At 39.9% G+C, this 27415-nt stretch overlaps 1 protein-coding gene and 1 pseudogene across 6 annotated transcripts in view, besides 1 other annotated feature; both read left to right on the top strand.

The window, feature by feature from the left end:
* Window positions 1-27415, top strand: part of PTPN14 (protein tyrosine phosphatase non-receptor type 14) — a 202903-nt gene that overhangs the window by 51287 nt on the left and 124201 nt on the right. Inside the window, exon 1 of one of the 6 annotated variants that reach the window (XM_047426374.1) lies at window positions 23546-23961. The exons of the other annotated variants lie outside the window; for them this stretch is intronic. The gene's annotated coding sequence lies outside the window, so the exon portion shown is untranslated. Of the gene's footprint in view, window positions 1-23545; window positions 23962-27415 lie in introns of those variants that run through there. 6 annotated transcript variants of the gene reach the window in all.
* Window positions 16027-16735: an enhancer, noted in NCBI's record as "NANOG-H3K4me1 hESC enhancer chr1:214656924-214657632 (GRCh37/hg19 assembly coordinates)". NCBI's record gives its function as "activates a minimal SCP1, AML or CMV promoter by ChIP-STARR-seq in naive H9 embryonic stem cells {active_cell/tissue: H9 hESC(naive)}" and the evidence as "EXISTENCE:reporter gene assay evidence [ECO:0000049][PMID:30033119]".
* Window positions 16837-18097, top strand: AP3S1P2 (AP3S1 pseudogene 2; annotated as a pseudogene).

The following is a 27415-nucleotide window of genomic DNA, read 5'->3' as shown; positions in this document are numbered from 1 at the left end:
GGCTCCTTCTAATTAAGAGTTTGTGTCCAGAGTCTGCCTTTGTCCCAGGCTGCTAAGATTATTTTTCCGGTGTCTTTGACAATTGCCACAAATACAAGAATATGGACCCATGTGGGTATGTCTTACATATTTGGGGGAATATTTTTCTGGAAACTTTGATTCTTGGTCATATCCTTATTGATACATTAGAATAAAATATAAAGCAAAAATGCCGTAAACTGGAATCATGATCCATCATCTAGAATGAGAAAATGTCCCACATTTGTGGACATTTGCGGACAATGTGTGACATTTTCTCATTCTAGATGATGTTGCTTCAAGAGTGTTACTGAAACGCTCTGGAAGGTAGAACCATTTGTCCTTTCCCCTCCTCAAGCCTGCTGGCACAGAAGTGTCACGAGGGTAAGAGTTCCTGTAGGAAATGTAATGGCTTTTGAAGTTGAGTTTCCTGTAATGTGAAGAGGCTTTCTGTATTTGAGACATAAAACTGAGTATTATTTTCTTTTTAAGAGTTGTCTCCTAGGCAATCTAAAAAAAAATGAATGCTTAAATTAGAAATAATATAACAAATTTATGGAGCATTCATTTGATAGCCTAACCATTTAAAAAACTGCAGTTACGTGAACTCTGGCAAACTTTCTGAATTCACATAAATGGATAGTTTTACCATGTAAAGTGTTAGCTTTGAAGTTTTCTTTTGAGGGAAGAGATACAATGTGTTAAAATTAAATTATGTTTGTTTTTGTTTGAATGGCTGAAAGATGAACATGATGCAAATTTTAAAAGTACAAATCTTTTTGGCATACAGTAAGAAGTTTTCATTTCACTCCTGCTCGGCAGCCTCCTGGTCCACCTTCCAGAGGCCAATAGTTGATAGTTATTTATATATTCTTCAGAGATATTTTGTATGTATACCAGCATATATATATATATATGCCTACCCTCTTTTTCCACACACTCATTCTACTGATCAGTCTCTCTAGGGTTCTATATCACTATGGTCTCTTATTTTGACAGGCATTAATTCTAGTATATAGCGAGCCTCCTCATTCATTTTTTTCTGTTACGTGCACAGACTGTCCACATAACCTCTCTGTGGTGCAGTTTCTAGGTTGCTTCCAGATTTTGCAGTGAACGAAGAATTTTCTCACACAAGTATGAGTCTTAGAATAAACTCCTGTTAGTGTAATGCTAGGTCAAAGGGTGTGGGCCGCCAGGTGTGATGGCTACTATCTCTTATCCCAGTACTTTGGGAGGCAGAGGTGGGAGGATGGCTTGAGTCTGGGAGTTTGAGGCCAGCCTGGACAACATAGTGAGACTGTCTCTATAAAATAAAAAAATTAGCCAAGGGTGGTGGCGCATACCTGTAGTCGTAGCTTTTCAGGAGGCTGAAGTGGGAGGATGACTTGAGTCCAGGAGGTCAAGGCTGTTATAAGCTATGATCACACCACTGTACTCCAGCTTGGGCAACAGAGTGAGACCCTATCTCTTAAATCAGAACAAGGATCTCGCAGGAAAAAAAAATTTTAAAGGGTATGGGCATATGGGTATTTTAAATTTTAATTTATATGGCCAAATTGTTTGCCATGGAAATTATACCAAATTATCAGCAATATATTGTGGTGCCGTGTAGACTATTGGCTTTGAACACATTTTCTTGTGGATGGGAAATTGAGAATTTTTAAATATGCATCTTTAGAATAATATGTTAAGTATATATGCATATTTGGATATGTTTCCATATATTATTGAGTAATCATATTTGATTCTCTTTTTGGAGGCTAGGTAAGTTTATGTGGCAGTTTTCAAACATTGAGAGCTATTAGGTTGAAAAAATATGGATAATAAGGTAATCTGAGGAACTTTTAGTTTCTTGCCCTTTCTCTCTTACATCCCTCTGAATTATTTAAGATCCAACTGAGTCTTGCCTTCTTCCATGAAACCTTCCACAATTATTCCAGCTCTTATTGACCTGGGATAGCAGAGCCTGTACTCAGTGATATGCTTTTATTAGAATGAATCTCTACAGTATCATGTTTGTGTGCCATGTTAGGAGACTCACAGCGTTAGAAGGGAAAGAGCAAGGAGGAGCTTAACTCTTGGCTTTGCCCTGTGATTTTTATCTAGCTCTAGGGACAGAAACAATAACATTCAGTAGATACTGTTTTCTTAGTTTTAAATAAGAAATACTTCCCCCAGTACTTTGTTATAATATTTTAAGCATAACTTGTATTATTTTTCTGAATATAAAAGTAATAATGATCATTATAGAAAATATAAGAAATATAAAACATTTTATAAAGCAGAAAATAAAAATCACCCAGAACCCTATCAGCTATGAGTACTCATGGCCATCATTTCTTTTGTCCTTTTCTCTCTCATTGTGTTTCTCTCTCTCTCTCGTGTGTGTTTCTAATGAAATTGACAGCAACATGCTGATATAGTTTTATATTTTCCTTTTTTTTCCCCCTAAGAATAGCTGATGGCTTGGGCTGTTTCCTCACAGAACTTTTCCTATGCATGTATATATACATAATATGAAATGTAGAGAAAGTTTTGAAAAAAGAAATTAGAAACAAAATTATACTATGCATAATGCTGCATTTGCTTTTGCCACTCGGTAATATATGGTAAGCTGCCTGTCTCAGGAGTAAGTATAGATCATTCTAGTTCTTATAAATGTTTTGTACCTTTGCACCAGGTCCCATAGGCTTCCAGTGATATCATGTTTTCTGTATTATAAATAATGCAAAAGTGACATCCTTTTTCATAGATGTATGTAGAAGCTTGTAGCATAGATTAAAAGTGGAATGACTGGGCTAAATGCTATACACACTTAAATTTTGATGGATAATGCCAAATTTCTGCTTAAAAATGTTTTACCTGTGTGTATGCCAATAAATAGCCTCACTATCCTCATCAGCTCTGAAAATGATCTCTTTAATTTTTTTAACTTGATAGATTAAAAACATTGCCTCTTGTGCATGTTTAATTTACATTTTCCTGATGGTGAGGTTGAATGTCTTCATATGCTTCTTAGCTGTGTGTCTTTCAGCTATAAATTTTCCATTTTTCTAGTTTCTGATCGATTATTGAGATTTCTTTGATACTAACTTTTTTTGTCTGTTACATATGTTGCAAGTATTTTCCTCCAGGTTGTTGTTTTCTTTCTTTATTTCTTCCCCCCGACCCCCCACCGCTGCCCCAATAGAGCTCAATTTCTGGAGACCAGGTTGTTGTTTGCTAACTTATTTCTTGTTGTCTTGAGCCATACAGGAGTTTTAATTTATTTAATAAAATCTGTATGGTCTCTCAGTTTTGGATCTTATTTACAAAGACCCTCCAATTTAAAAATGTATTTTCTTATGTTTTTTTTCTAGCACTTTTATGATTTTGTTTTCTTACAAAGACTGAGCTAGACTGAAGGAATGATTGAACTTTATTTCTTTTCCTTTGTAGTTTAATCATGAAAATTGATATATTTTTATATAGGATTTTTATAACTTACCAAAGCAGTTCTGTGGAATATAGATCAAATTAGATATTAAGTTAAAACTGAATCATAGAAATTCAGATTATGGATAAATTGTTCTTTAGGACTTTAAAAATCTCTCTCCAGCTGTCATTTAGTTTCTAATAGTGTTCTCTGGTCCCTTAGGGATCCCAGCACTTGGGTAGGGGGTAAGGAGTGTTTAAAAAGAATATACAGGTATCATCAAATCAGTTCTGCTTTTATCTGTAATATTTCATTTGAAAATAAAGGTGCTGCTGAAAACAAGAAACAGAAAACCCACAATTTGCTATTCCATTGGAAGTTTGGGGAGCAGGGCAGGTACTAGTAACTCATTTTCCCCGAGGGGTTTCAGTGAGTTGGTATGGGTCATGAGTGAGGTCAGTGTGCAGTATAACTAGAATTCCTTGCCCCTGAGGACCTTGGCTGAACTCCCCTTGACAGAGCTGGGCTAAGCCTAACACTGGGCTAAGCCGTATCCTGTTACAGTTATAAAGTATGTTCCGCAGTGTGACCTTCTGCTCTAGAACACTTTGCACACTATTATTCCACATTTCCTCTTGGGTACCTCTCTCACCTGTTCACTGGGATCTAGTTATGCAGAAGCAATAAATACTGCAGAGCAAAAGTATTTTTGTTAGGAAATGAAGTACGTTTCTAAATCTGTGAGCACAAAACTGAAATGGAAAATTACTGAGCAAATTATAAGCTCAGGACCAAGAATGCCAGGAGAGTTTTTTTTTGTTTAGAAAAGAAACATGAAGTGTTGTTTATCTGTGGGTATGAAAAATGTATTAAAATAACACATGAGGCCGAGTGTGGTGGCTCATGTCTGTAATCCCAGCACTTTGGGAGGCCGAGGCAGGGCGGATCACCAGAGGTCGGGAGTTCGAGACCAGCCTGACCAACATGGTGAAACCCTGTCTCTACTAAAAATACAAAATTAGCTGGGCATGGTGGCGTGTGCCTGTAATCCCAGCTACTCGGGAGGCTGAGGCAGGAGCATCGCTTGAACCAGGGAGGCGGAGGTTGCGGTGAGCTGAGATCGCACCATTGCACTCCAGCCTGGGCAACAAGAGCGAATTTCCGTTGCGAAGTAAATAAATAAATAAATAAATAAATAAATAAATAAATAAATAAAAAAAATAAAATAGCACATGATAACTGTTCTGAAAAGCACTTTTCCTCCCCCATCTTAATTTGATAATGTCAGTCTTGTCTAAGTACCTTTTCTCCTGGAGTGGATTAATTGGAACACTATTTTTTTAGACTCTTGAATTACTGCAGATTTTCTGACCAATTGTTATTCCTCTCCTTAATGGTACTTAGTTTGCTTCAGAAGATTTGAATTAAATTTTGGTTTTGGTGTCATCTTTCACATGTCCTTTTTATTCCTTCAGTGTTGATTTTTAAACCACTGTCCCCCTACTTGTAATAGCTACAGTAATAGGTAATTATTAGGCATTGTTATCTGGGCCAGGGACTCTGATAGTGCTTTATATACATTATCTTATTTAATCTTTTCACTGACGCCGTGACATGTAGTTACTGTTTTCATCTTACAGATGAGGGAACCAACGCTCAGAGAGTTTAAATAGTATGCCAAAGATTTTACAGTTGGCTGAAATTCAAACATAGTATTGAAATTCAGTGCTCTTTCTTCAGATCCCAAGCTTTTCACTAGTATAGTGTCTTTAGATTTTTTCACCTTAATGAGTAACTCTGTGTGTCCCTTTCTGGGATGATGCTGAGAGAGGAGAAAATACATCTCACCACTAATGCTGGTCCCAGTTCTCAGACAGTTGCTTCTAGGTCCAAAGTGATTTTATTGTGCAGTCATCTCTAAGACCTGTTGAGTTTCATGAGTCAAGCAAGAAGAATTCCAGGTCTTTCAGGCATCTCCTTCCCTCAGGTTCACTTGTGGTGAAGATGACACGTGGTCAGTGTTTCTAATTATACTTTGGTCTTCCTTTTCCTTGAATATTGTCAAGGAACACAACTGCCCTTCCCCCTTCTCTCCCTTCCATTCAGTAGTGTAGTGGTAACTCAGTCTTAGAAACATCAGGAGAGGCCACTCTTCCTTTAGACGTCCAAACATTTTGTTAGCTTTAGTTCTCCCTGCTTTGTTCATGTAAAGCTTCATTTATATGACCAATTCCGTGTCATCTCTTTCTACCCTTGCAAAAAAAGAGCTTAATGTTAGATGACAAGGCAACACAATAACAATGCACCACAACAGAGCATAAAGTTAAAGTTGGCTAACTTGGCAGGGTAAAAAGAAGTACATCCAGGGCTTGTTCCTATTTTGACCAAAAAGCATTAAAGTGTATTCTTATATGGCAGGAATCGCCAACCTCTCTAAGCTTGGGGAACATTAGCCTGTGTGATAGGGCTGACAACAAGATGACTGGTACAAGGAGTGAGGTAAGAAAGAGAGAGGAGGGGCCGGGTGCTGTGGCTCACACCTGTAATCCCAGCACTTTGGGAAGCCAAGGCGGGCGGATCACAAGGTCAGGAGATCGAGAGATACCATCCTGGCTAACATGGTGAAACCCTGTCTCTACTAAAAACACAAAAAATTAGCTGGGCGCCTGTAGTCCCAGCTACTCTGGAGGCTGAGGCAGGAGAATGGCGTGAACCTGGGAGGCGGAGCTTGCAGTGAGCTGAGATCGCGCCACTGCACTCCAGCCTGGGCGACAGTGCGAGACTCTGTCTCAAAAGAAAAAAAAAGAGAAAGAAAGAGAGAAGAGGAAAAGGAAGGCACTAAGGACGGGAGAGAGGACACTTGTGGAGTGCTGCCAGTGATTTCTTTGGTTCTCTTTCTTTGATGTGTCCACGTAAATTGAGTGCTACACCTTTAGAAGTGGTTCTTTTTAAAAAACTTATTTGTATTTTTAAATTTTTTAAATTTTAAGTTCTGGGGTACAGGTGCAGAAGTTGTTCTTACTTTTTTTTGATAGATGCCAACAAGAATATGTTCTGTGAAAGATCTTAACTAGTGTAATCATTCTGTCATTTCACATTTGAAATCTTGACCATATATGTGTGACATTATATATACGAGTCTTGCATATAAAGTGTGTTTAACCTGGGTCAGTATGTTAGCATGTATCATTGTCACTGATCCCACTGTGTCTCTGAATAGATTACAGTTATGTATAAAAGATCAATTTCCTGTTTTGCTCTCTCGCCATCTCTCCTAATTCATTGGAATGTGATGACTCTTTATTGATTGCCTAATTCATTTCTTTTTTTAATACTTTTTTATTTTTAATTTTTGTGGGTACATAGTAAGTATATATACTTATGGAGCACATGAGCTATTTTGATACAGGCATATAATACATAATAATCACATCATGGAAAATGGGGTACCCATCCCCTCAAGGATTTATCCTTTGTGCTGTCTTGTACATGGTTGGTGGGAATGTAAATTAGTACAACCACCGTGGAGGAACAGCTTGGAGGTTCCCCAAGAAACTGATTCACTTCTTTTTCATCTCTTGGAGCCCTTCCACCTGCAGGTTCTTGATCAGAAGTTCCTGTTTCCAACACATCGCCCAGGCCATCACTCTGACCATTGGCTTCACTTGCAGCTGTCCCCAGTCAGAACCTCGTAGGCAGTCCGTTCTGAGGCTTCCTCGCACCCAGGACCCCTCTGCCCTGCAGCCAGCCCAATTTGGGCCTTCTGACCTCCGAACATGTCTTGCTTTCCCACTTAGGAATTAGAAACACTGGGAATGATCATCCCCCCTCTGAAAACAGTCACCACCACTGCCTGTTGGAATCCTGCTAGACATAAATAAAGCCTTAGCTCAGTTTCCTTAATGGCACCTTTCTCATACCCTCATACCCTCCTGCTATGTGTTGTGAATTCTGCCGCATTCTTTTTTTTTTTTTTTTCTTTGAGACAGATTCTTGTTCTCTTGCCCGGGCTGGAATGCTGTAGTGTGATCTTGGCTCACTGCAACCTCTGCCTTGCAATTCTCGTGCCTCAGCCTCCTGGGTAGCTAGGATTACAGGCATGCACCACCACCCCCAGCTAATTTTTGTATCTTTAATCGAGACGGGGTTTTGCCATGTTGGCCAGGCTGGTATCAAACTCCTGGCCTCAAGTGATCCACCTGCCATGGCCTCCCAAAGGGCTTGGATTACAGGTCTGAGCCACCATGCCCGGCCGACAACACATTCTTTGTAGCCAGGCATGCGGCACCAGCAAGGAATGCCTCATTTGATGATACCATTGTTACACTCTGTCATCATCAAATGTCCCAACGTATACACAAAACTTTAATCTGATTCTCCTTAGGGTCATGCAAAGCTAAAATTATTTATAAAGGCATTTAAATGAATTGTGCCATTAAAATTAAATCAGTGTTATATGTGTGTCTCTACAGGTTTGTAACTCATTATTTATGGACCTTTGGGGTTGAATTTACAGATGCTGAATCTGCAGATGCCAGAGGCCCAAACTGATTTTCCTAGGGGCCATCTTATCTCCTAAGTGATAGCTACATGGTTGTGGACATGTCTGCTTATTTCTTCTGCCTTTTGGGGGGCAGGGATGATCTTTTACTCATTATTATATTCTCCCGAAGTTTTTCTTTTTCTTTTTTTTTTTAAACACAGTATCCTGCATTTGATAGGTTCCTTTAGTAAATGTGTCTTCATTAAATGAATTAATGAATATCATATTTTAAAATAAAATCTCATCCCAAAATGGAAATAAGTAGAGAATGGAGTAGAAAAAGAAAATCCTCTATTTGAAATGAGGATGGGCAGCCTGAAAATGGAAGCGACAAGTCAGGGTTTAAGAATAGACTGAGTAATCTAGATGTGACTGTAAGTGCTGTATTTGTGAGATATGACACCTGGGTCTTTAAACCAAGATCGAGTGTAGTAACTAAACTGCTTTTGAGGGGGAGGATAGAAAAGAAAAGAATGGAAGGAAGCAGGTGGACGTTTGCTCTGGCAGGTGACCCAGATGAACTAGACTTGGGGAAAGATTTCCCCAAGTCTTGTGTTCCTGTCTTGTCCTTTAGTCTCCTTCCAAATCCAGCTTTCTAAGTGCTGCAGTTTTTCATTGTAAGCCTAGAGGGCCATCCAGTTGTGCTTTATCACAGGGGTCCCAGACCAGTACCAGTCCCTGGCCTGTTAGGAACTGGCATCACAGGAGGAGGTGAGTACTGCCTGAGCTCTGCCTCCTGTTGGATCCACAGCAGCAGTTGATTCTCATAGGAGAAGGAACCCTATCGTGAACAGCTCAAGCCAGGGATCTAGATTGCACACTCCTTATGAGAATTTAACTCATGTCTGATGATCTGAGGTCCAACGGTTTTATTCCAAAACCATCGCTCCCCACTCCCATTTGTGGAAGGATTGTCTTCCTTCAAACCAGTCCCTAGTGTCAAAAAGGTTGGGGACCTCTGCTTTATCGACCAGTGAATAAAAGTTGGAATACCCTGGCAGAACAGGCAGCCCACAGCCGCTGTAGATAGAGCTCATACACAGCAGTTTTACCTGTGAACTAACATTACATTGCAGCATTGTGAGAGCATATAAAATGAAGTTTGGGTTTAGAGTTTTACCAGACCATTCTCAGTCCTACATCATTACTATCATCTATGGATTTAAAAATCATATTAAAGAAAATATAATTTAAAAAATCTTGCCCATGCCACTGGGTAGGGGGTTATGCCATATTAAGCAATTTGTCTTTCTTTCTTTCTCTTTCTTTCTTTCTTTGTTTTTCTTTCTTTCTTTCTTTCTTCCTTCCTTCCTTTCTTCCTTTCTTCCTTTCTTTCCTTTCCTTCCCTTCCTTCCTTCCTTTCCTTCCCTTCCTTCCTTCCTTTCTTTCTTTTCTTTCTTTCTTTCCTTCCTTTCTTTCCTTCCCTTCCTTCCCCTTCCCTCCCCTCCCCTTCCCTCCCCTCCCCTCCCCTCCCCTCCCTTCCCTTCCTTTCCTTTCCTTTCCCTTCCGTCTCGCTCTGTCACCCAGGCTGGAGTGCAGTGGCGCAATCTCGGCTCACTGCAACCTCCACCTCCCGGGTTCAAGTGATTCTTCTGCTGTAGCCTCCGAAGTAGCTGGGATTACAGGCGCGCACCACCACGCCTGGCTAACTTTTGTATTTTTAGTAGAAACAGGGTTTCACCATGTTGGCTAGGCTGGTCGTGAACTTCTGCCCTCAAATGATCTGCCAGCCTTGGCCTCCCAAAGTATTGAGATTACAGGTGTGAGCCACAATTTGTGTTTCTTAAAGGAACACAAATATAACTGTGAATTCTAACATCTTCCACAGTATTCTCATTTATGCATACACAATGAGAGACACTCGTTTGTCCTATTTATAGCCAAAGATGCTTTGTTGAATATGACATGAAACAATATGATTTTTAACTATACAGTTTTACTGTGATCTGATGATCAACATGATACAATTAATAGTGCTCTGTCAGAGGTAAATGTTAACAGCAACAGCTGCTTTATTCTCAGCTGGGGTATCAATTCCCAGGGAAATGCTTATTTTGGGAGAAAAGATTTATTTCAAGGTTATATGTGAAACATTTCCCCCTTGTAACTTTGTGGAAAAACCTAAAGGATCCTTAAATATCTAGCTCTGGAAGGGACTTGGGTTGGTTGACGAAGTGATTCCACCACCCCATTGCCTCATTGTAAGAGGAGTGACTTTGTACTTGCTCAAAGCCTTGGGATTGGAGGAAAAAGCAAAGCTGGGAACCAAGGGCAAAGTGGTTTATTATAAGAGGATTGGCTTTGGCCTATACTTTATTACTAGTAACTAACATTTATTAACATATGTGTCACTTACCGAGCTAAGCTGCAAAATCTAAACTCTCAGAAGAGACTTTAGAGCTAGATGCTACTGTTAGCCTTTATTTTATAGACGAGACACTGAGGCTTAGAGAGGTTAAATAAATTGGCCAGTTGATAAGAGGTGGAGTCAGGACTTGAATTCAGGCATCTCTAGCTCCAGAGAGACCATCCTAGAATAAGTCCTTAACTTCAGTTCTCTTTCTCATGCATTTGTTCAGTCAGCCAACACAGTGATGTGATGCCTGCTGCTAGTAAGTACCCTACGAGGCTCTGGAGCTGCAGAGTTGAATATAAAATGATCCATGACCTTGAGCAGCTCATGACTGCATGGCACAGTGGGACAAGTGCTGGGAGAGAGGGAGTCTATGTCCAGGGCTAAGCAAATCCAGAGATGAGGCATCAAACCTTAGAGAGGGGCAATTTAGAGAACTTTCCTGGAAGGTTGACTCCAAACGCGTTCTGAAAGACAAATAGGAGTTGACTGGATGAAAATTGGGAAGTGTGGCCTCTCAGAAGCAATAATACTCAAAGGCTTGGAGATTAGAAACGGTATGGTGGTTCCATGGTTCCTGCTCTTTGCAGGTGACTGGCGCATATGGGAAAAGGGTGGGCAAGGGGAGAGGGCATGGTACAGATGGATACGGTTTTGGGTTTGGCTCTGCCACTTCCTGGCTTTGTGTCCTTGAGCAAAATCTCAACCTCCGCAAGCCTCAGTTTCGTCACCCATAACATGAGGATAAGTAATATACTTACCTCAGTACTGTTATGAGGGCCAAATGATATAACAAACTGAAAATGCTTAACACCATGCTTGACACATCATAAATGCTCAGTCCTTTGAAGCTGCGGTTACTAATCACCATCATTATTGTCACTATCTTCCTTTTCCTCATTATTTAGGTAGTCAAGGCCCAGATCTTAAAGGACCTTTCTCAAACCACCTTATGTTGTCTTTCGATGCAGCCTTAGCTACACCATGAACTAGTGGAAATTCTGATGTCTTTGAATGCTGGGTGGAAGGATAGAGAGAATTTCATATTTCGAGAAGCGGTGACAAGTTCATTTTGATGAAATGTATTGCAACATAGCAGAGAGGTCAAGAGCCTTTTCTGATGTCTGTGCTTGTGATGGGAAAATTTGTATTGAGGAAAAGGCAATAATATTACAGTGTCACTTTTGCAAAAATCTTCTTAAGCACAGCTGTCAAAAACCTCTTTCCAGAGAAGGCCATTTGCCCTCTGTGATCCTGAAGAATTCATCCCCACTAGATTATGAGCTTTCTGAAGACAAAAGCCAGGTTGTACTCATCTTTAGATCCACAGTGTCTGACGCCTTTCAGTTGCTCAGTGAAAATGGGTGAAAGTTAATGATGCTCCTGAATGTTCTGGTATTTGGCATTTTACAAAGGGCAGATATTGTTAAGAAAAAGATAAGACTTATGACAGCATGCTATTTCATTCCTTTTACATGGGTTTTATGTGCTCAGCTCTGATATTGCCCTGCTTAGATGCTTTAGTGATTTTGATTCTTTTGTGTGCCTGTACAGAGAGTTGTTTTGGGGATGATTAAAGTGTTTTATGGTAGGTGGGCTTTGTGAGAGCAGCACAGCTGTGTCTGTCTTAAACAGTTTTATCCCTATTGTCTAGTGTAGTGCCTGGCCCCTACAAGGTACGTGATAAATATTTGTAATAATCAATTTCTATTAAAAATGTGGCTCAAATTACTGTGAAACATAATCTTAATTTAACAAATTTAACTTACTTTTCTTGGCCCATAAGTACAAGTAGAAGATTATCTGTGCTCAGTACAAAATTTCATTCAAGTTTGGGTGGAGACGCTCTTAATGTTTAAAAGGTTGGCTTCTGTGTTGTATGGTGTATAGGACCCTTGCTTTCTCCCTTGTGCCATTCACTGTTGTTATAGGGTAAGGTCTTTGGGCTGAATGGCTACAGTGTTTTAGATGTGGACTTTAGGTCCCAACTCTGCACTGCATCTGTCTGCTCTTGCTAACATGACTGCAATGTTGGAGGAATGTCATAGCATCTCCAGGAAAGCGATCCTGTAATGCTTGGTCCTCCTTCTCTCTCAAATGCAGCTATTTATGTTGCCATTGGCCCAAGATCATATGGACAGCATCTACCTCTTCTTCCCAGGTGTGTTAGAGAAGGGGCCTTACAACCCAGCCAGCTTATCTTTCATCTTTTAGGTCACTGCTTAACATGTTAGCTCTCAACAAAGTGCTTTCAAACCTTCTTCACAGACTAATTGCAAAGTATATATTGATGGAGCTTTTTTGCCCTGTTGCTCTTCTAATTGGATGTAACAGTCGTTTTTTTTTTTTTGAGACGGAGTCTTGCTCTGTCTCCCAGGCTGGAGTGCAGTGGCGTGATCTCTGCTTGTTGCAACCTCTCCTTCCTGGGTTCAAGGGTTCAAGTGATTCTCCTGCCTCAGCCTCCTGAGCAACTGGGATTACAGGCACATGCCACTATGCCTGGCTAACTTTTGTATTTTTAGCAGAGACGGGGTTTCACCGTGTTGGCCAGGCTGGTCTCGAACTCCTGACCTCAGCTGATCTGCCCACCTCAGCCTCCCAACATGCTGGGATTACAGGCATGAGCCACCGCACCCAGCTGGATGTAATAGTCTTTGATGCACCTTCTTTAATTCTAGTCTGGCTGATCTCTCATAAGGTGTTCCCTGCCTCCTCCTCCTTCCTTCACTTTAATTCCTGTCTTTCACTTTAATTCCTGTCTTTCCTTCTCCTTTTCTTTCTCTAGTCATATGTGAACTACCCATGAATTAGTGACTTTAGGATTGTGCTTTGAAAAATAGGCATATTTTACTTGAATTTGTTTTAGTATAGGAATTGGGTTAAAAGAAGTGGATGCAATGCAGTTCATTTCTGCACTTACCTGTGAAAATATAAAAGCATACAGATTTTTTTCCAGTATTTATTATTTTGTGGTAGAATGAAAAAAAAAATAGATGCTTTGGGGATCTGATCAAAGCGCATAAATTAATGTGAATAGCTGAAGGTTGATGCATCTGGGTGACGGGGTCAACTTTTCCAGATTTACGGAGATGTACCAGAGTTAAAGCATGGGATATGCCATGTAAACATCTGAGAACTTTGGCATGTTTTGATTTATTTTTTTCACTGCAGTATTGAGTTTGGCCTATGTTCACTACTAGGGGGAATGGGAGAGGGTTCAGGGAGGTTGTTTTTGTTTTTCAAACAGAAGGGGAACAATGCTTAGCAAATGCCCCTGGGTGTGTGCCTCCAGCAAACACATACATTGGGTCAAGACCCTGATTTCTAGCCTCCCATTGCCTCTCATCTCAGTTTTTTTCCGTTTTGTTCTGGGCCCTGGGTAGTCTAGCAACTTTGTTCCTATTGTCCCAACCCTAAGTACTCCGAAGAATCTATTTCTCTAATGTGGTAAGTAGTTTTATACAACACTGTCAGCAGGCGGTGAGCTGTAAGTTATATTTCCATTGGGAGAGACTTACTTTGCTGTATCCCACTAGAATCTAAGGAAAAATCACAATAAAGGCTCATACTTTAAGATATTCTGGAAGATGGGAGACCATGTAGCCTAATGGAGACAGTATGAGCTCCATCACTAGCTAGTGTATCTCAGGTAAGTTACTTAGACTCTGTAAAGTTTGATTTACTGTTCTGTAGACTGAGGATAATGCCTCTACAGAGTTGATGACATGAGTATGAGAGATAACATATGTACAGTTTAGTATGGAGGAAGTGCTCCATAGATGGTAACTATGATTTTTGGTTAAATTAGGGTATGGTTTTGGGACATGAACATTTATTGATGATAACTTATTAACACCCCTCCCTCTACCCCTGCCTGCAGAGTAATTCTGATCATTTTAAGTGCCAGCACCTGTGGATATCTGTGAACAAGGACTCACCAATGAAATATAAAAGACTAGGCCGGGTGCGGTGGCTCACGCCTGTAATCCCAATACTTTGAGAGGCCAAGGCGGGCGGATCACGAGGTCAGGAGATCGAGACCATCCTGGCTAACATGGTGAAACCCCGTCTCTACTAAAAAATACAAAAAATTAGCTGGGTGTGGCGGCGGGCGCCTGTAGTCCCAGCTACTCGGGAGGCTGAGGTAGGAGAATGGCGTGAACCCGGGAGGCGGAGCTTGCAGTGAGCTGAGATCGCGCCACTGCACTCTGGCCTGGGCGACAGAGCGAGACTCCGTCTCAAAAAAAAAAAAAGAAATATAAAAGACTAGATGTCTTCAGCCCTGTGGTGGTTCCTCTTCATGCATTTAGGCGCAGTACAGAAACTCTCCATGTCTGTGGTTACATTCGCCTCTGTATTACTCAGTGGTTGGAGGTGAGGAGTTGGAAGTCTAGGTCAGTTGTACTTTGAATTTACCTGTAGGTCCACTTCTGCCAGCTCAGAGTCCATTAGCTCTTCCATATTCATCTGTTCTCAGCAATTACAGGAAGGAGAATTTCATACCACTTGTCTAATGAGGACTTGATCCCGGTGGTTATCACAGATTTCCCAAAATTGAATGAAATGCTCCTCTTGTTCCCCTTTCTGAAAGAATTCCAAAGCTTCCTTCAATGCAGTCAAGGGGATCCTTCCTTCCGCTAGAAGCATTCCTCTGTTTTGAGTCTAGAATGCTTCACGGTGCTTTTTGTCTTGTGGCAGCTTCCTGGGAGAGATACGAGGCTCACTTATAAGTGCTCAGAATAAAAATACGAAACACAGTAAGTGCTCAATAATGTTAGCTAGGATGGTGGTGGTGGTGGGTGATAAATGATTTAATCTCATTTATGCTCCATCTTCTCCTCCACTGTCCTTCCAGGATAATTAGCAGCACTAATAATCTGGTTAGACTCAGCTCAATGCTTTCTATTCGATATGAATAAGTGATTATTGTTTACTGCTAAGACAAGTGTGGTGTTGAGATGGCATTTTCTTTGTTGAACACATTTTTGTTTTTCCTTGAGAAAATGCCTAACCTTTTCATTCTCTTGGTTTTCCTTGAACATCTAAGTCTTCCCACACACCTCCAACTGCTTTGTGAAACAAACGCCTCTTGTATAACTTTCCACATTGTCCAACCTTTTCAGATAATCTCAGCACCTCGCACTTTTGCTTCCCCTGAAGACATCCCTCTTGGAGACCTTTAATGACCTTCTGTTCCCATCTGCATGGAGAGGAATAAAGACATTCAAACAAGTCTCCTATTTTCAAGTCCTTCCCTACCCATAACCTACCCATTTCCCTCGCAAAACAAAACACCTGGTACCTTGTGTCTCTAAAGTTAAGTGTACAGACAGCAAGTTTAGCTTTCTCTGCCAGGTTTTTACCTTCTGTATTTATATGTTGTGTTGGGGGGGTTTCTGAAACCCCCTTGTTTCATCAAACATGGAACTCTTTGCATCTGTATCTTGTTTTCTCAATGATTTGAAGCGATTTTTCAGTTGGGGAAAAAATGGGAACACCTGCATTTTACCACTTTAACTCAGCCATCTCCTAACTTCTAATTCCAAATTCATGTTTATTTATTATTTTTTAAAGAGATAGGGTCTCACTCTGTCACCTAGGCTTAGTGCAGTAATGCAATCATAGGATCATGGCTCATTGCAGCCTTGATCTCCCAGATACAAGCTATTCTCTTGCCCCAGCTTCCTGAGGAGCTAGGACCACAGGTGTGTGCTGCCATGCCTGGCTAATTTTTTAATTTTTTATAGAGACTAGGTGATACTGTGTTGATCAGGCTGGTCTTGAACTCCTGGGCTCAAGAGATCCTCATGCCTTGGCTTCCTGAAGTGCTGGGATTACAGGCATGAGCCACCACATCCAACACCAAATTCCTAATGATTGACTGGATTAAAATAACCATGCCAGGCAAGGAACTAAATACACCTATATTTTCTAGACCCATTCTACGATTTCTTTTTCCTTTTGTCCTATTCTTTATTATTGGATACAAATGATAACATGCTTATCTTTTGGAGATGAAAGGGTCTTTCTCTGGTGAGAACTCTTTTCTTTCAAATGCAGATTTTATGGGAAAATCCAACTGGCCTGCTCTGTGTTTTCTGTTAAATAAGCCCATCTCTATGAGTTAGGTGGTAAAGGTAATTTGTTTCATTTTAGTGCTATAACTTAAGAAGACAAGGAGAATTTAGAGTTAAGGGAGAACCACTGAGATAATTAAAAGGTGAAGAAATAATACCTAAAAAGAAAAAGTAAGAAAGGTAGGATTATTTATATCGGAGTATATGAGGGAGTGAGTGTCATAATGAGAGTTAAATATATAAAGGTGCAGTGTAGAGAAGATGGCACCCAGTTGCCCTTTTAAAATGAAAGACTTCAAGAGGAAATAGATTAAATTAGCAGTAGAGTCTGTAAATAGCATAACAGAGTATAAAAATAGCAGTAGAGTAAGTATATTTTACAAAGAAGAAACTTCAAGACAGTGAAAGTTGTTAACTGGAGGCGGGTGGGGAAGGGTCGCAGGCAAGATTACTAGGCGAGGCTTGTGCGCCCGCTCCCGCCCTGGCCACCAGTGCCCACCCGGTCGGCCTGGCACAGCCATGATCAAGGCGATCCTAATCTTCAACAACCACGGGAAGCCGCGGCTCTCCAAGTTCTACCGCCCCTACAGTGAAGATACACAACAGCAAATCATCAGGGAGACTTTCCATTTGGTATCTAAGAGAGATGAAAATGTTTGTAATTTCCTAGAAGGGGGATTATTAATTGGAGGATCTGACAACAAACTGATTTATAGACATTACACAACGTTATATTTTGTCTTCTGTGTAGATTCTTCAGAAAGTGAACTTGGCATTTTAGATGTCATTCAAGTATTTGTGGAAACATTAGACAAATGTTTTGAAAATGTCTGTGAACTGGATTTGATTTTCCATGTAGACAAGGTTCACAGTATTCTTGCAGAAATAGTATGGGGGGAATGGTATTGGAGACAAACATGAATGAGATTGTTACACAAATTGATGCACAAAGTAAGCTGGAAAAATCTGAGGGTGGCTTAGTGGGAGCTCCAGCCTGTGCTGTATCAGCTGTAAAGAATATGAATCTTCCTGAGATCCCAAGAAATATTAACATTGGTGACATCAGTATAAAAGTGCCAAACCTGTCCTCTTTTAAATAAAAATGTAAAAAGGCCACTCCCAGGTAAAATCCAGGGGGAAGAGTCATCTAAGTTTACCATGCAGTTGTTTACCAAAAATAGAGGAGGAGAGTCTTAACTTTTGCTCTTGGATTTAAGTCAAGGTACTATATAGAAGTTGTGTAAAATCAGTATGAAAGTTCAACGTTGCTTTTCTTGCTCAGTGATTTTAAAGAAATTGAGTAGTTTCTATGTGATTTTTTTTTTTTCTTTTCTAAACTGCATTCGGGTGCCCATCTACGGCATGCCTCTATGTATTGGCTACTACAGTGTTTTAAAAAGTGTTTCAGATATTTCTTTAATTATGTGCAACCTAAAATGTTGGTGTTTTGTATGGATCACAAGTGCAGCATTCCTTAATTCCTTCTGCTATTTGTCACACAATTGTTATTTAAAGAACCAAGTATGTATTGCATGAAAACATTATGACTTTTTTCTCTTAGTTTAAATAAACTCCAAGGTAACTGGACTTCTAAAGCACCTTTCTGTTTGCCTGATATCTACTTTAGCAATAATTTTTTTTACAACCCTCTGACTCAACAAAGTAAATAAAAGTATATTTTATCACTAAAAAAAAAAAAAGTTGTTACTGGAATGAGCTATCAAGGGATGGTCACCTTGAATAATTTTTATTTGATAGTGTTTAGCATCACCTACAGGTTCTAATTTAGCTAATAAATGACTAAGCACCATTACTTTTTTTGTGTGTCCAAATCAGTTCATTTTGTCTTGAGTGTCTTGAGAGTATCCATGCACAGGTAATAGCAAGAAGTCTTCATTCTTGCCTTTTTTTTTTTTTTTGGAGACAGACTCTCGCTCTGTCACCCAGGCTGGAGTGCAGTGGCGTGATCTGGGCTCGCTGCAAGCTCTGCCTCCTGGGTTCACGCCATTCTCCTGCCTCAGCCTCCCAAGTAGCTGGGACTACAGGTGCCCGCCACCATGCCCAGCTAATTTTTTTTGTATTTTTAGTAGAGATGGGGTTTCACTGTGTTAGCCAGGATGATCTTGATCTCCTGACCTCATGATCCACCTGCCTCGGCCTCCCAAAGTGTTGGAATTACAGGCGTGAGCCACCGCGCCTAGCTCATTCTTGCCTATTTTAATGTCTGTATTGGAATCCTTGTTTACCAATCTTACTTCAGAGCAGCAGTACTCTTGAGAAAACTGATGACTTCATAAGGCTCCAGTGTCTGTGTAAATGAGACAGTTTTCAAAAATCATATGTAATAGATAACTAGAATATTTTAATTTCTATTCTTTTTTTTTTTTTTTTTTTTGAGCGGGAGTTTCGCGCTTGTTTCCCAGGCTGGAGTGCAATGGTGCCATCTTGGCTCACAGCAACCTTGGCCTCCCAGGTTCGAGCAATTCTCCTGCCTCAGCCTCCCAAGTAGCTGGGACTACAGGCGCATGCCACCACGCCCAGCTAAATTTTTTTTGTATTTTTAGTAGAGATGGGGTTTCACCATGTTGGCCATGGTGGTCTCGAACTCCTGACCTCAGATGATCTGCCCACCTTGGCCTCCCAAAGTGCTGGGGATTATAGGCGTGAGCCACTGCGCCCGGCAGTTTTTATTCTTGTGCTGCATTTGTTTGACCCTGCAGTTGCTTCTGTTTCAAATGTTGCATTTATGTGAAATAAAGTGAGATTGGATATAATCTTTACACAAAAAAATCTTACTTGAAGTTCTTATTTTCTCTTTGAGCCATTATGTACCCTTGTCATCTCCTTTTCTCCTTTTTTACTTGACACGTTTTGTAGATTATCCTGAGCCCTAGAACAGTGTGTGGATGGTTGCAAATTTTCATCTGCTGCTTGTTTCTTTCTCGCCCTTGCCTCTGTGTGGGCTCTTCTCTTCCCAGCCGCCCAGCATATCTGCTGCTCTATTCATATCCTTACCTATCACTTCATACGACTTGGTAGGCAGAGAGGGTGCCTTTTCTTGTTCTTTGGGGAATATTGAGATCAATATTATGTGCTGTGGGAATAATGGTTTTTGAGAAAATGATATATAAATATAAGGGAGTACAGTCATTTGATGTTTGGGCCAAGTAATGTTTCTGTAGTTAACACTTGGTGGGGGGCAACAGTATTACATTTTTCAAAAGCTATCCTTAGATCTGCTTCCGAGGTTGAGGTGCTGTGACATGGCACTGTAGCTATTGAGAGATAGGATTGTTGATATTTTTGATGGTTGATCATACCCAGGGCCATGCCTAAGATTCACAGTTCACCTATTTGTTACAGACTGGATTTTGGGAGGCTTTCTGCTTCTTAGACTTCCTGTCACATGAAGACATTGAGACTTTGAGGTATCCCTTTTGGGATCAATATTCTCCTTTACTAAAGCTTTTCTGCCATCTTGAGGAATCATGCTTAAGGTAACCCAGTAAGAGAAAAAAGCTATAGCAAGAACTTGGTTCTTTTGACTCCAAGCGTGGGTCTTTTCTTTTTATGGAAGTGGTTAAGAAAACATATTGTTTCAGTCATCTTATAAGTGAAGAAATGGAAATCATAGTCATTTGTGATAGCCTCTGCATTTAACAGTTATTTGGGAAGCAATTTAGGAGTATGCAATAAGAGACTTCTAAAAATATGTAGTTTTTGACTCAATAACAGTCTTGAAGAATCTATTCCAATGAAAGAATCAGAAGTATAGGGAACTCTTTTTGAAAAATAGCAAAAAATTAGAACCAACCTAAGTTGTCAACAATAGCAAATGGTTAAATAAATGGTGATCCATACACTGGAATATTATGCAACAGTTTAAAATTGTTTTTGAAAAAATTTTAATAGCATGAGAAAATAATACATAGTAATCATAAATAATGAAAGATATCAAATAAGATGGTACAATCTCAGTTACACAATAAATTAAACATAATTAAAATGATGAAATAAAATATGCAAACATTTTAATATTGGTCCTCTGTGGGTGGTGACGTGGGTGATTTTTTTCTTTTAGTTTTCTGTCATTTCCAATATTCTTATAATGAATTATAATCAGAAAATATTAAAGGTTATTAAAATATTTAGGTAAAATAGAAAACGACTGAGCTTTCTAACCCTAATAATTCAAAAGAATAAATTTCAGGACATAAGCTGTTTTAATAAGTCTTTTTTTGTTTGTTTTTTTTGGATAATAAAGACAGGGTCGGGTACGGTGGCTGACGCCTGTAATCTCAGCAATTTGGGAGGCTGAGGTGGTAGATGAACTGAGGTCAGGAGTTTGAGACCAGCCTGGCCAACATGGTGAAACCCTATCTCCACTAAAAATACAAAAATTAGCCGGGCTTGGTGGTGGGCGCCTGTAATCCCAGCTACTTGGGAGACTGAGGCAGGAGAATCGTTTGAACCTGGGAGGCAGAGGTTGCAGTGAGCCAAGATCACGCCATTGCACTCCAGCCTGGGCGACAGAGCGAGACTCCATCTCAAAAAAAAAAAAAAAAGACAGGGTTTTGCTCTGTTGCCCCAGTTGGAGGGCAGTGATGCAATAGCTCACTGCAGCCTTGAACTCCTAGGCTCAAGCAATCCTCCTGCCTCAGCCTCCTGAGTAGCTGAGACTACATGCATGCACCACCACATTCAGTTAATTTTTAAATTTTTTGTAGAGATGTGGGTCTTGCTTTGTTGACCAGGCTGGTCACAAACTCCTGGACTCTAGTGATCATTCCACCTCGATCTCCCAAAGTGCCAAGATTACAGGCATGAGCCACTGTGCCAGACCAAAAAATTCTGATTTTAAAAAGGAATGCTTGATCCTTTTTTTTTTTTAAGCAAAATGTACTATTTTGTACATTTTGTATTTAGTCAATGTATGATTGTATATGGTGCTGAAAGCCATGTGATAATGGGAGAGTGCTCTAAATAGTATTTATTAATAAATAATTGACTATTGTTACTTATTTTATTATGTAAATGTACATCTTATGGTATAACCTAATGGTGAAAGATTGAGCTTTGGAGCCAGCCTTTGCCACCTGCTAGCTCTGGAACTTTGGCCAGGTTATGTAGCCTCAGTTTCCTTATCTGTAAATTGGACGTGTGAAGATAAATGAGAAAATACACGTAAAAGTCTTTAGCACACTTCCTGGCACATAGTAATCATTTAAAGGCTATTATAGCTGAAACGATCAATGAATCATGAGTGTTCTACTGAAGGAACCCTTCTTCCAAATTTTCTTACATATAGTATTTAGGAGGGACATATGTTAGGTGATTAAGGTTTTTTTGTTTTTTGTTTTTTTTCCAAATACAATGGTGATAATCCAAAGATTGTGTAAGAGAAAGTAGATGTTTCTTCTCTGTTCCTCCTCTTATATCTCTGAGTATGGAAATACTCCCTGGTTTTCTCCAAGCTCATATAAACCTAAACATACACAAGGTAACTGGTTTATTTGCTTTGGTTTTGCCTTATATATTACTCTGCAACTTTTCCTACTTAGTAACACATCATGAGCATTGTTCAGAGCTAATATAGATTGAACTCATTTTTAATAACTGCAGAATAGCCTAAATAATGTAGATATGCCAAAATGTACTTGAACTATGTATTATGGATACTCAGGTTGTTACAAATTGCCACCCTCTACTACAAATGACGTTGAATGCAGCATCCTTATACAGAATTTTTAAGATTCATTGCTTTTATTTCCAATGAAAGTTTCCCTAGAGTGACACTGCTGAGTTCAGAGTCAGTGCTAATTATAGTGCAAAGGGATTTGGGGTGCAAATAATATATAAAACTTTGTTGGTTTCTGCCCTTTTATAATCTAATTGAAGAAGAAGTACGCATGTATTTTTCTGTGGATTTCTTTGCTTATGTACAACAATTTTAGTAAATGGTGTTTATTCCTAGGGAGGTTTGAAATCCTTAGCATTCTGAAACATAAATCAGAAGAGCAAAAGGAGTCTCTTGAATTAGGTTTACTCTGTACAGTATTTGCTGTATTTATTAGATACAAATTTGTTAGAAATTGTACATAGTTAAGTCTTGCAGTTTTTAAGAGCTAAGAGTCCCACTTGAAAACTGAAGCACCTGACTTTTGCCCTCTTGTTCCTTAGTGTGCTTACACCCTACAGGGTTGCAGACAGGGGAAGAGCCATCCCCACATGCAGTATCTCATCTCTAGAGGCCCAGGCTTGCTCAGCACGGATGCAAGCAGCTGAACAAATCTTGTTTTGAGGTCACCGATGGTAACAGGAATGATAGTATGCTAACAAATTATTTTTACAACAGTAAAGTTACTGTGTTAGCATTAGACAGGTTCTTTTTCTTTGTAATATCACTGAGAGCTACTTAGTACAACATAAGTTGTTCCAAGTGTCCACTTAAGTAGTGTGGGGTATGTGTGTGTTGTGTGTCTTTACAAGGCAGGGGACAGAGAGAAGAAAGAACAATTGTAATGGGTTTGTGGTGCATGTACGTGCATGTGTGGCCGCAGTATACCTTTAATGAGCAGCACGACCATGTCTGTTTAGAAGCTTTGTTTTTCCCTGTTAGTAATTAACATTTGGTTACATCAGTTGGGATTATACAACTCTTTAACAGCTGATACTAGTTCATACCTGTTTTCATTCTTTCTCCCCTCTGATTCAGCTTCTTGGCTCTGGAGAAGTGATTGCGTTATACACTAGAATCCACTTGGTTGTACTGATTCACTGGAGTGGTCACATATCTGAAACCCACTGGGCACCCTGTTGCGGTTTCCAGTCAGTGGGACCTGTAGTTGCATGTTTTGGTTTCATATTTTTTCTCTTAGTGATGAACAGCCTTAACTTTAAAAATTCTCTGCTCTGTAACAATTGGCTTGTTGGGAAAACATTTTTACAGCTGTGGTATTTAGCAGTCATTGTGTTTCCTTGGGTTTCCTGCAGTATTCCGTGAAGTAGCAAGGATAATAATGGCGGTGATAGCAAACACATAACCAATGCTTACCATGTGCCAGGAATTTATAGATTATTAACTCATAACCCTCCCAACAACTCTAGGTGGTGGGGACTGTTTTCATCCCCATGTTAGAAATGCAGGGAGCGAGCCAGCTTCGGACCCATGGTTATGCAGTGTGTAAGTGGCTTAGGCATGGAAATGACTGCTTCTGGGTGAGGCTTGCTGGTGGGGCTGGAGAAACTGGTGAATGAGGCGACATTCCCAGGGAAGCTCAGTGCTGGATGCTCAGACCCAGATGGAGAGAGCTGGCAGAGTGGCTTAGCTGCTGCTCACTGTTTGGATAGGAAGTGACACCCTGGACATGGGAGAGAAGTTGAGGGAACTCACTCAGGCATGGGAGGAAGGAAACGGGGGAAAGGAAGGTGTGGAAAGCTTTGCTGAGGGAGGTCACAAGCAACAACTGTCTCTCCAGGAGAGCCCTTCTTTCTTGGCTACTTCTGTCCCTGCAGGGCGCACCTCTCCGGAAAAGAGCGAAGCAAGCTCAAGGTATGTTTATCCTCAGTGAGTTTCTTTTGATTTGATGAGTGAGTCATCTGCCCTGGCTGGAAAACCTTTCCATTTGCTTTTGTGATTGTGTTTTTCAAATTGGTTTTTGAAGAGGTTCTATGCGACATGCTCAGGTTCTCTCATTCCACAACACAGTGGTACAGTAGAATAGGCCATCTAGGTAAGAGGCTCTGGCAGGGTGCTATGGCTGGGATGGGACCCTGATTCTGCCACCATGCCTTCTGGATAGAGCTTCCTTGGGCTGAAATTGGGTCCCAGCCTCAGGGCCCCCTCCACCATGTCTGAGTAATGTCCGCTGTGGGTGAGCAAAGATAAACTGCTGATGGTATGTCATAGTTGTTTTTTGTAGAATGTGGGTGCTTGCTATTGTCATTGTTACTTTTATATCATAAGGTCATAGCTGATAACCCTCTTTCTGCGTCATATCAGCATGGTTCATTGGGTAAGAACATGGGTTCAGATGGAGCTCTGGGTTTGAACTTGATTGTCTTTAGTCACTGAGTGATCGTGGGGGGAAGTTATTTCCTCTCTTTAGCCTCAGTCCTTAGTGTGTAAAATGGGGTGATATAGTAAGAGAAGCCCTGTTGTCGTAGGGGTGTTGAGATTGTGCTCAGCAGAGTGCCCCCATCAATGTGTCTGCTTCACAAATGGCGGTGCTGATTATGGGGAATTTCCCATTCTGATTTTTAGGTGTAATAAGCTCTGACATTCCAGGACATACATCATTGTGGATATAGATACTGACAGCAAAAAGAAGTGGAATTGAAGAGTTGCAGAATGCACATCTCCCAAAGAAGGGTGGGGTGTCTTACAACAAAGCATTCCTGGCGTGACTAGACAAAGCTCATTTGAGAGTAAACCAGAGTCAGGTATTCTTCTGATGGAATTGATTATGCAAGCTGGACCAGGAAGAGTCCTTTATTTTATGCCCAATTGATGGTTCTTTATATTTTAAAGAACTTGTCATTTTACTTACAGAAAGAATTTTTCCTACTGCCTTTTAATAAGGAAGGGAAAAACTATTGCTTTTGGTTTTATCTAGTGAAATCCAAGTTCTGTTTTGGAAGGACAAAGGAGTTAGTTTGGAGGGAAAATTCTGACCCTTTTTAGTGAGCACTGTTATCTGTTTTACCAGGTTACTTTAAAAAGTATCATTTAGTAAATTTTTTTGTTTTACAAGCTCCAGCTTATTATTATGGAAATTTTAGGCACATACAAAGCTGTAGAGAATGGTGAGACCCCTGACATACCTGTCTCCCACCTTCAAGAACTGTCAACTCATAGTGGTGCCTCATCTGCAGCCCTACTCAGTTCCCAAACCCTCGTGATTTTTTAAGCAAATCCCAGACAACATTATTTTATCCATAAGTATTCAAGATGTACTTAGAATGCCTTCAGAGGAAAGTTTCGCTAAGGTCAAAAATGAAAACCTGCATGTTCTAAGTTGCTTCCTGTGGGAAAATCATGTCTCTCTGGAAATCTCAAGACAGTAATCCTTAAAGCAGGGGGTGGAGAAATGATCTTTTTAAACAATAACCAGGGGAGCTTTTTCAGACTAACTTGTCCTCCTAGAAGATTGCCTGCTGAAGCCACCCCCTTATTCCAAGAGTTCACAGAAAGTGTTAGAGATGTACAAGATAGAGAACCACCTCTTTGGGGAAAGTGCTTCCGGGTTATGGAGGCTTTTTAACCACCATGGATGGGACTTACTTAAAAATGTATTTATTTTCTTCCTTCTTAAACAGATTATGCTGGGTACTATTTAATTGTTCCTATTTACTACAGGGAGTTTTGGACACCGATTTGTATGCTGTGGAGTGTGTATGTTAATCATTTACGTGTCACCTCCCTTGTTGCCATTTTTTATCCTATGTCAATGTGCTTGTCTGTAATGACAGCCCCTTGTCTCTTTGAAATCTGTTAAGGGCTGAGAAGTCAGGTCAAGGAACTTGTAAAGAACTGTACTTAAAGTCAGAGTAAATGAACTGAGGGTGTTCTTTTGTTTCCTGAGCAAAGTGTATGATGTTGGAATTAAGGATTTGGTGATACTCAACTGCTCAAAGGATGTTTTGGCTCCATTTCTTGGTTTTTGGCTGTGTTCTACATAGATCAGGTTGCTGTGTAGCCATGTTTCATATAGGTGAGGTATTACTGTAATGAATTATAACACAGTAGGAATCTTTGTTTTCCAATTTCACATACAGCTTTAGAAAGGCTTGAAAGGTCATTTACGTGGTTAGTGCGTAAGAGAGATGGAAAATGTGTTTTAGGACAAGTTTCCATCTCACCACTGACTAAAAGTGAGTTAGGAGGGAAATAATGGAATCTTAAAATGTGCTTTTTACAGTTTTTGTTGTTGATGTTATTTTCATTAGCAACTAAAGTCAGGGGCTTGTGTTTTAAACTTTGCAGAAAAAGCTTTACTTGGCTAAAAATAATTTGATGTATGGATATGATTTGGGTACTGTACAGCTCTAAAACTGATTGATAGAAGAAACTAATAATCTCATTTGCACTGCACAAAACTAATTTCCTTTCTGCCTTCCTTTAAAGGAAAATAAGAGTAGACATTTTTAGTATTCTTTTATTTCCCATCCCCTCCCACCTCATCCCTTCTTTTAGCCTTTCCTTAGGAAAATGACCTAGTACTATCAAAACTGAGCTGTGCCCTATGCAGGTTTATACACAGCACAGACTAGTTGCATCAGTTTTTCCTTTCTTACACCCTCACCAAGATTACATAGCTCTGTGAGATGTCCTTGGGAGTTGTAATAGTATGGAATGCTGGAGAAATTCCAAAGACTGTTGGTAAATATAGGATGCAATTGAATAGCAGTTAGCTTCTTTTGGTGATTTCAGAACTTATCTTTAAGAAAAAAAATAAAGAGTTAAGTATACATAGCATAGCATGGGAACTAAAAAGAAAGTGCGGTGACCATGTTTAGGATTTGGATTTGAACTTCTGTCTTTCATTTGCCTGTGCAGGTAATTCAATAAAAGACTAAACACAGACTGTGCTGGTAATTCAATAAAGAGGAATACGCTGCATTTGGTTGATATTTGTGAAAGATCTCTCCTCTGCTTATCCATCATATTTAAAGATTTACTTGCTCTGCCAAATGACCTTTTCTAAATTGTGAGAAAGCTGTCTTTCTTTGCTTTGTGTTTTTAACTTTGAAATTTTTTTTAATTAAAAATGAGAGAACAAAATACTGGAAATCCACAGTTAATAGGTAAAGATCGAAACTTACACTTTAGAGCTTAGGAAGCTGATTGACTACTCAGAAGTGAATTTTAGAAGTGCCTGAAGGTTTTCTGTATGTTCTCTTGCAATGTAGCCTATTCTATATAAAAGACCTTTAAGATGTGATGTTTACAGAGCAAATATCTCAACGAATTGCTTTCAGCAAGCATGGGCACACTACAACACTTT

Source organism: Homo sapiens, chromosome 1, assembly GCF_000001405.40.
Source record: "Homo sapiens chromosome 1, GRCh38.p14 Primary Assembly".
Taxonomy (NCBI): Eukaryota; Metazoa; Chordata; class Mammalia; order Primates; family Hominidae; genus Homo; species Homo sapiens.
Note: the sequence above shows the minus strand (reverse complement) of the source record. Positions and strands in the feature narration are given on the sequence as shown.